This window comes from Homo sapiens, chromosome 10 (assembly GCF_000001405.40).
Source record: "Homo sapiens chromosome 10, GRCh38.p14 Primary Assembly".
In the NCBI taxonomy this organism is placed as follows: domain Eukaryota; kingdom Metazoa; phylum Chordata; class Mammalia; order Primates; family Hominidae; genus Homo; species Homo sapiens.
In genome coordinates this window covers 900,622-910,241 of record NC_000010.11, presented here as the reverse complement: position 1 = coordinate 910,241, position 9,620 = coordinate 900,622, and the positions used below count along the sequence as shown (strand labels likewise).

The 9,620-nt window shown below is 43.1% G+C and overlaps 1 protein-coding gene across 11 annotated transcripts in view; it reads left to right on the top strand.

The window, feature by feature from the left end:
• LARP4B (La ribonucleoprotein 4B) overlaps positions 1-9,620 on the top strand; it is a 181,428-nt gene that overhangs the window by 78,100 nt on the left and 93,708 nt on the right. The window contains exon 1 of one of the 11 annotated variants that reach the window (XM_047424895.1): positions 5,944-6,812. The exons of the other annotated variants lie outside the window; for them this stretch is intronic. The gene's annotated coding sequence lies outside the window, so the exon portion shown is untranslated. Of the gene's footprint in view, positions 1-5,943; positions 6,813-9,620 lie in introns of those variants that run through there. 11 annotated transcript variants of the gene reach the window in all.

Genomic DNA, 9,620 nt, shown 5'->3' with positions numbered 1-9,620 from the left:
GGAAGTAGATTTTTAAAGGGAAAAAAGGCAGTTCCTGAGTTGTTTACAAAAAATGTACATCAAAATAACATAAGCTATTGATTGGCTGTACATTGTTCATCGTTGTCATAGATTTCAGGAACATGAAGATAAGGGTAAGGCAGCCAGTCAGGAACAAAATGACTAAACAATTCTGCTCAGCATGGATCTGGGGCGGGAGGCATGACAGAAGTCCCACACTCACGGCTCTCTGGGCCTGCATACCTCACATAGCTCAACTGCACTAAGCTGTTTTTCTTTTCTCAGTCACATTGTCTATTGAAGTAGGCATATAACCATAACTGGCCTGTAATTGTAATCCAATTTGTTTATAGGATGGAGATGGTACTGCTATGTCTTAGGTAATTGTCATTTGGAATAGTAAACCAAAGTAAGATTAAAAAAAAAATCTTGGAACTTAAATTCTTTTTTTTTTTAGAGATGGAGTTTTATTCTTGTTACCCAGGCTGGAGTGCAGTGGCGCGATCTCAGCTCACTGCAACCTCCGCTTCCCAGGTTGAAGTGATTTTCCAGCCTCAGCCTCCCGAGTAGCTGGGATTACAGGCTCCTGCCACCATGCCTGCCAAATTTTTGTACTTTTAGTAGAGACGAGGTTTCACCATGTTGGCCAGGCTGGTCTCAAACTCGTGCCCTCAGGTGATCCACCTGCCTTGGCCCCCCAAAGTGCCAGGATTACAGGCATGAGCCACAGAGCCCGGTCTCTTTTGTAAAAAGTACTTTTGTAAGTAACAATTTTAGGGGACATTCACTATATTTTAATATTAAACAGTTTGCATTGTTTCTGGGAAACAATTCTGGTCTGCAGGTGTAATGCCTAATATTTGAAGATTGTTGTTGGATTCTGTGCTTGGAGTCAGTGACATTGACTCTCTGAGCAACTTGGAATTTCCTTTTTTTTTTTTTTTTTTTGAGACGGAGTCGTGCTCTGTCGCCCAGGCTGGATTGCAGTGGCGCGATCTCGGCTCACCGCAAGCTCCACCTCCCGGGTTCACGCCATTCTCCTGCCTCAGCCTCCCGAGTAGCTGGGACTACAAGTGCCCACCACCATGCCCGGCTAATTTTTTGTATTGTTAGTAGAGACGGGGTTTCACCGTGTTAGCCAGGATGATCTTGATCTCCTGACCTTGTGATCTGCCCGCCTCAGCCTCCCAAAGTGCTGGGATTACAGGCATGAGCCACCGCGCCTGGCCGCAACTTGGAATTTCATAGCTCCCACGCCTGCCGTTTGGCTGTGGTGTGTAACACATGCTGTGTGCCAGGCATTGTGCTATCTGTTTCAGGTGTCCCCCAAAGGAGGAGAGGTGGGTCGGCCCCTCACCACCTGGCAAGGGAGGCCCCCCCCGTGCTGCAGCCTGCACTCCTTGACGTTTCCTTTTCTTGTTTGTAGATGAACTTGGAGGAGTCCTGGAACTTCTGAATTCTGTTTCATAGCTTTCAGTATATTTTGGAAAGGATTTTTTGACCTTTCCCTCCTGAAGAAAAAGCGGTTTTTCTCCTGCTTTCGCGTCACAACAATCAACCCAGAAGAATTCTGTGACCGCTGGTCACCAAGAAATGTGCGGGGATTTCTCCCCACCAGCAACCAATCAGTTTTACAGCAGACACCAGTGGGGCACCCTCCCCTTCAGTCTCAACACTCTACCTGGAGATAGTGTCAGGTCCCACAGAATGAGGGCTCATCCCTACAAGACTGCCCCTTCTGATGCCACTCCCACGCCACAGGTTGTTTACCCATGCTTCCTAGGATCCCCATGGCCCCCTCTTTGGGTTCCATTACTTTGCTTGACAGACTCACACAAGTAAGGAAAACATGTTTCCTGGTTTATTTTGAAGGATATTACAAAGGATGCAGATGACGAGATGTGTGGGGCAAGGTGTGGGGGAAGGGCAAGGGGCTCCCATGCCCTCTTTGGGCTGCCACTCTTTAACAACCTCCATGTGTTCAGCTATCTGGAAGCTCCCCAAACCGAGTCCTTTTTCTGTTGTTGTTGGGTCGGAGTCTTGCTCTGTCACCCAGGCTGGAGTGCAGTGGCATGATCTTGGCTCAGGCTCACTGCAACCTCCACCTCACGTGTTCAAGTGATTTCTCCTGCCTCAGCCTCCCAAGTAGCTGGGATTACAGGTGCCCGCCACCAGGCCCAGCTAATTTTTGTATTTTTAGTAGAGATGGGGTTTCACCATGTTGGCCAGGCTGGTCTTGAACTCCTAACCTCAGGTGATGCACCTGCCTCGGCCTCCCAAAGTGCTAGGATTACAGGCGTGAGCCACCGCACCCAGCCTAGGGTTTTTGTGGAAACTCCGTTACATAGGCATGATTGCTGAAATCATTGGCCATTGATGATCAACCTTCTGCCACTTTCCCCTACCTGGAGATTGGGAGTGGGCTGAAAGTCCCAACAGTCTAATTCTGCCTCGGTCTTTCTGGTGACTAGTTCCCATCCTGAAAACACCTTAGGACTGCCAGCCCAGTCATATCATTAGTATACAAAAAGACATTTATTACTTGGGAGATTCCAGGGATTTTAAGAATTCTATGCCATGAAATGGGAGGAAAACCAAATATATATATTTCACGATCTCACATCCCCCAATACAAATAATTGTTTCAGTATGTGTTTGCCACTTCGGAACTTCTTTAGTGATTTGTTTTGATAATACAATAAAAATTTTTAGTCATCACTTTGTATTTAACTCCTTTGTATGTTTAGATCCCAGGTGCACACTTAAACGGACATGCATGTATGCATATACAAAGTCTAGAGAATAAAATAAAATGAAAATGAAAATTAACTCAAAGTAATTTTGCCCTCAGCTGTGAATATTGCCTTTTCCCTTATTACACCACTTGGAATGTGCACCAGCAGAGGCCGTTCTTTGGACTCATCCCATTTTCTGGGCTTCATATTTTAAATGCTAGTTAATTTTTCCCACATTTGTTGCCACAAGATAATAAATTATTAATGTATTTACTGAGATTTTACTCGTTTAGGTACTGTGTTAGGGATACAACAGTGAACAGGGTAGACATATTTCTGACCTCCGAGTGATAAAACTTTTGTGTTGGAGTGAGGATGATAATTTGATATGCTGTATTCCTGGGTGTAAAGGTTTGCAGGAGTACATAGAATAACCAACCAAGGCTTTGTGGGAGGATGGGGAGAGCATCTCAGTAGCTGTGGTTCTTTTCACTTTATCCTGGTGCAGCCTGTCAGAAGGTTTCAGTTGCGAGTCCCTCGCTTTAGGGAGGGCAGTCTGGAAGAATCTGTGGAGTTTGGGGAGGTGGGAAGAAGGGAGATGCTTTAAGAAACTGGGTGGTAATTCAGTTCAGTTGGTGGTTTTCTGCACAGTTTCATGACAGGGATAGAAACTTGAGCAGAAGTTAAAGCTGTATTTGCAAGTTTCTGCCTTGGGCACCTGAGTCAATGATATGTCCTTCAATAAGAGAGATTGGTTATCAGTTCGTATTTGTTTTAAATGAGAAGTAGGGAATTGATTTTGAGAACTCTGCAGGATCATAAGGTGTTCACTGGGCATTCACTTAGATAATTTTGTGCTGAAACTGAGCATATGGTTGTGAACAGAAGCCATGAGAAACTGGGAGCACAGGAGCATAACTCAAGGAGACAAGGAGGTAGACTCCTTTGCACACATACCGTGGCCTGTCACCAGGATCAACGCTGTCTGTGGATCCATGCATACCTGTGGGTTGCACCACACTGGCGCTGGGCTTCTCTTCAGCAGGGCTGTTCCCTCTTCCCACCAGTGGAGTTGTGTGCTTACCAAAGCCAGGTCAGCTTCCAAACTTGTTCATCGATCATACTCATTCGTGCAGCTGTGTGATTTAATTAATATAAATTGATCAAAATAGTGTAAAAGCAGTTACTCATTTGAAAACTTTGGAGTATCTCAAAAACAAATCACAGAGAAACTGCTGATGAATTAGATATGAAAATAAGGATAAAAACTGAAGAAGAGTCATAGAAGCATTGTACTATTCAGAGGGTTTTCCTGTCTCTCAGCTGCACTTTAAAAAACAATGAAGATCTTTGTTGATGCATTATGGATATAGTTTATGTGGGAAAGAAATAATATCTAATTGACCAAGTCTCAGAAAAAGGCCCGTGTGAATGAAGATGTATAAAATAGCTAAAGATTTATGTATTCATCTTTATGATTGCCCATTTGATTTACTATTTCTTTTGATTGCACAGGGCAAGAGAGCTTTTGCCCTACTTAGTGCAGAAGAGCATTCCCAAGAGGCTGAGAAAGCAGGTGACGAAGTGGAAGAGGGTAGAGTGGGCTTCAAGGGAAAGGCTGGTCTGTTCCACTGTGCTGTGAGAGGTCCTCCCTGTCCACCAGCAAGCAGGAGGCTGGTTCTTGTAGAAGGAAAGTTTTCTGGGAGGTTGGAGATAGAAACAGTTGAGAGCTGCCTCTTCAGCAGGAGGCCAGGAGGACGTCCAGTCCTGCTGATTCTGCCCTCCTTCCCTGCTCCTCAGCTCCTCCCTTGCTCCTCAGCTCCTCCCTTGCTCCTCAGCTCCTCCCCTCCCCACGTTCACTTTCTTTTTTTTGCGACAGAATAAGCTGTTGAAACAGTGACAGGGAAGGATTGAACATAATGGAAAAAAACATAATTGCAAAGACAGGAGTAAATGGGATCTAGACTGGGCATGGAGGGACTAATGAAGATAGGATCCTGACTTCGGTCAAGTGTTTTATGTCTGCTCTATTTAGATTCCTTGTCTTGACTTCTGAGGTGTGATTTTCAAGAGCTATATAGGATTATAATTGTTATGGAATATTTCCCTTTCACTGAAATGCTAAGAAATACGTATATATTAGGAATATTAAATTCAAGAAAGGAGGACTTCACATTAATGCATGTGTAAAATAAGGTGTATTTTATCACCACTTATAACACTGTTAAATGGCATTTAATTATTAAGGAAGGTAATTTGCAGGTTCAGATAATAAGACTTTAGGGAGTGCCTCCAGGGCTGTATTAATAACTTGAGGAAGACATTTTTATAACTATAGATTGAGTATCCCTTATTTGAAATGCTTGAGGCCAGAAGTGTTTTATATTTCAGTTATTTTTGGAGTTTGGGATATTTGCATATACATAATGAGGTATCTTGGGGATGGGATCCGAGTCTAAACACAGAATTGTTTTGTATACACCTTATACACATAGCCTGAAGGTACTTTTATACAATGTTTTAAATAAATTTAGCGTGAAATGAGGTCTGTACATTGAACCATCAGAAAGCAAAGATGTCACCATCCCAGCCACCCATGTGGACAGTCTGGTTGCTTAATGCCACCATCGTGCCTGGTTCTGGATTTATATGCTACCAAGTGGCAGTCATCTTCTTACCCTTGCTCGCATGGGAGTACTCAGCAGTAAAGAACATGACATAGCATTAATACAGTGAGGAAATGATGTGCTCGGGTAACTAACCAGCCCAGTGACATCGCCACAGTACCTGGATCAGCCGTCAGATAACAGCAGCAGCAGACTTTTCAGTGTCCACCTATGATGCTGTGTTGTGATTAAAAGGTCACTGTACACTGTGTTTTATGTATTTTTATTTTATTTCATTTTATTTATTTATTTTTATTTTATTTTTATTTTTATTTTTATTTTGAGACAGTCTTCCTCTGTTGCCCAGGCTGGAGTGCAGTGGCATGATCTCGGCTTAATGCCCCCCCAACCCTCCGCCCCCCAGGCTCAAGTGAGCCTCTTAATTTAGCCTCCCAAGTTCCTGGGACTACAGGCACATGTCACCACACTTGACTAATTTTTGTATTTTTTATAGAGACAGGGTTTCACTGTGTTGCCCAGGCTGGTCTCAAACTCCTGAGCTCAAGTGATCTCCCTTTCTTGGCCTCCCAAAGTGCTGGGATTACAGGTGTGAGCCACTGCACCCGGCCTATTTTATTTATCTTTTAGGGGACAGAGTGTCGCTATGCTGCCCATATTGGTTTTGAACTCCTGAGCTCAAGTAATCCTTTAGCCTCAGCTTCCTAAGTAGCTAGGACTGCAGGTATGCATCATTGTGCTTGGATTGTGTTTAATTTTCGTAGGTGAGAAGAAACATCAGAATTTTTCACTTGTGATGTCATGTTGGTGCTCAAAAAGTTTTAGATTTTGGAGGATTTCAGATTTCAGATTTTCAGATTAGTGCTGCTCAGCTTGTATTCTGTCAGTGTTGCGTGTCAAGGTTTTTTTTTAACAAAATCAATTTATGTATCATTTCATGGTTCTCTGACTCATTGTTAGGGACAAATATGCCTTCCCATTTGAGCCGCACAGGATTAAAGCAGCTCCGAGCTGCTTCCCAGCTCTGACATTTTGCCATTCTAAAAAATGAGTTTACTCACCACTTCCCCATCTTACTCTTTGAGTATTATGTATTTTCAATTGAAAACTGTAGTTTTGTGATGATGAATTGGAAAGCTCAATAGAACATGATCTGTATTCCTTGAAGAAATGCAGGATCCACTGGAAATGAGGTGGAGAGAGACCTTTTCCACCCATCAGAGTGAAGCGGTGTACTCTACAAGGTGCATTCCTGACGAGGAAGGCCCTGTGTGCTGTGCTGCCAATTCTGGCTTTTCCTCAGTTCAGGTGTATGCCCATGCTACTACGTTTGTCCATCAGCATTTTTGTTTTGTTTTGTTTTCAGATGTAAATGAGAGGAAGCAAAGATTTTTATGGAGACTATCAATAATCTCAAGAAAATACATATTCAAAATGGAATTAAAGCCGTGCAGTAAGATAAGTTTATATATGCAATTCCTTAAGGTAAAAGTAAATTATAAAAGATTGAATCAGGCAGTTCTGCTCTTTGTCCAAAAGGTAAGATTGCATGTGAAACATCAACAGGAAGTTGCCTTTTCCTCCTCTGGACTCTGGGTATACTTTGTTTGCCATCTGCGAGATCAGTCCATGGCTGAGAGATGGCATAAGTGAGCCTGAGTGCAGCAGTGAGCAGGTGGGTCTGAAGGATGTGGAAGAGTGGAAGTAGGGGACGCTTGCAAGTCAGGAGAGGCTTCCTGGGCATCCAGCACACATCCTGCCAGGTTAGGTTGAATCTTGTTTGTCCAGGTTGACATTCTCAACATGAGAAGTAATTTCTAATGGAATAAAATGCTGATGGACAGAAAAATGGAGGTTAGAATATATTCTAAACAGACTAGACAAAAGAGACAACTAGCTTTTCAACCAGGTAATTTAACATCTGTATTAAAAAGATTTTATGCCAGGCACCGTGGCTCACACCGGTAATCCCAGCACTTTTCGAGGCCGAGGTGGGCGGGATCACTTGAGGTCAGGTTGAGACCAGCCTGGCCAATATGGTGAAACCCTGTCTCTACTAAAAATACAAAAACTAGCTGAGTGTGGTGGTGCACACCTGCAATCCTAGGTACTTGGGAGACTGAGGCAGGAGAATCACTTGAACCTGGGATGTGGAGGTTGCAGTGAGCTGAGATGGCACCATTGCGCTCCAGCCTGGGCAACAGAGTGAGACTCTATCTCAAAATTAAAAAAAAAAAAAAAAAAGATTTTATGTTTCTGCTTCAACTTGAGGTTAAATGAAGTGAACGTGCTGCAGCTGTGCCCTGCTTAGACTGCAGATTTTGGTTTTGATGCTTCTTGGTAGTCCAGTATTTGACAAAGGAAGCTGTGTGAATTAGCTAAGCTTGTGTCCTAAAAAGATACTCCTAATGTAGTTGTCAACTTTTCCATTTGCTTTTCCCTTTGTGAAAGTGTGTGAAAAGGTGTGGAAACCCTTCCTAAGAAGCTCTTTACTGGGAAAGGTGTAGCACGGGATAAAAGCAAGAAGTGGTACTCCGAGGGCCATGATTCGCACTGCTGCAGCTTAGGGCTTGTGCAAAACAATGTTCTGTGCATTTGGTTCAGATACTTTATTTCAGCTTCTTTACAACCAAGTATTAGAGTGGTGGTTTTTGAGTTCGTCAAAGGTTTAATGAGTAAAATGCTCTCCTAGCCAGAGGGTTAATGAGATGATCTAAACTCCAGTTTCGGTGGTTGTTTTGTATTATGTTTTAGTAAGAATCCTAGCTAAAATGGTCTTTTCAAAAGATTGTACTCTCCAGAAGATAATGTCGTAGACCCAGTCACAGGCTTTAACGGTGGAGGGGACCGTTGTCCTTTTTTTGTGTGTCGACTTAGTAGACACGTTCTAAATTTAAAATCAGGAAGATTTTGAAAGTATATTATTTGGTGGTCTTCTCATGTAGGTACTTTTTCAATCAGATCTTGCTAACAAATAAGTTTTTGTATCTTGTGTCTGATTATGTCCTCCTTAGGAGGAGAACCAACTCAAACTATAAATAAAACTCACATTTTCTCACTGCTGTTTTTTTCAGTAGAAGCACCGATGTACACATATAAAGGACATTTTACAAAATTAGTCTTGAAATTTATTGGCAACATCTCCTTAGGAATACTCCAGTGCTGAGTGCCAGTTTAAATGTATAAACAACTACTCTACTGAGATTGGACGCATTTCTTTTATCCGTCAGTATCTTTGAGTGACACACTTACTATAAGAACATGAAACGAAAAGAATGGAATATCATAGAGATACTGAATCTTGAAAAAAACAAAAGACTAAAATAACAGTTTTGTTGGAAGCAGCAGTCTGTTGCTCTGTAAATGTTCCCACTATTCAAGCTTACAGATTCACTTGAGTATATGATGTGTATAAGGTACATGGAAGGAACATAAAATAATCTGCCCTAAGGTGCTCTCACATTATTCTATTGTAAGATAAAAATGTGCATTTCAAATATTACAGAGTGGTGCTGGCAGCCGTGAGATAAACCATATCATCCAACTAACAGCACAAGGCAGATGGATGAGGAACTAGAATTCCTATTGTATTTTATTTTCTGCACTTCTCTATTTAGATATGCACGTGGGAATCATAATGAAAATTTCTGTTAAGAAATATATCCTTCTGCTGGGTGCGGTGGCTCACTCCTGTAATCCCAGCACTTTGGGAGGCCGAGGCGGGTGGATCAGGAGGTCAGGAGTTCGAAACCAGGCCAACATGGTGAAACCTCGTCTCTACTAACAATACAAAAAATTAGCCGGGCGTGGTGGCAGGTGCCTGTAATCCCAGCTACTCATGAGGCTGAAGCAGGAGAATCGCTTGAACCCAGGAGGCAGAGGTTGCAGTTAGCCGAGATTGTGCCATTGCACTCCAGCCTGGGCAAAAAGAGCAAGACTCCGTCTCAAAAAAAAAAAAAAAAAGAGGCCAGGCGCTGGTGGCTCACACCTGTAATCCCAGCACTTTGGGAGGCTGAGGCAGGCAGATCATGAGGTCAGGAGTTCGAGACCAGCCTGGCCAGTGTGGTGAAACATCGTCTCTCTAAACATACAAAAATTAGCCAAGCGTGGTGGCGTGCACCTGTAGTCCCAGCTACTCGAGAGGCTGAGGCAGGAGAATCGCTTGAACTCGGGAGGCAGGGGTTACAGTGAGCTGAGATTGTGCCACTGCACTCCAGCCTGGGCAACAGAGTGAGACTGCTTCTCACAAAAAAAAAAAAAA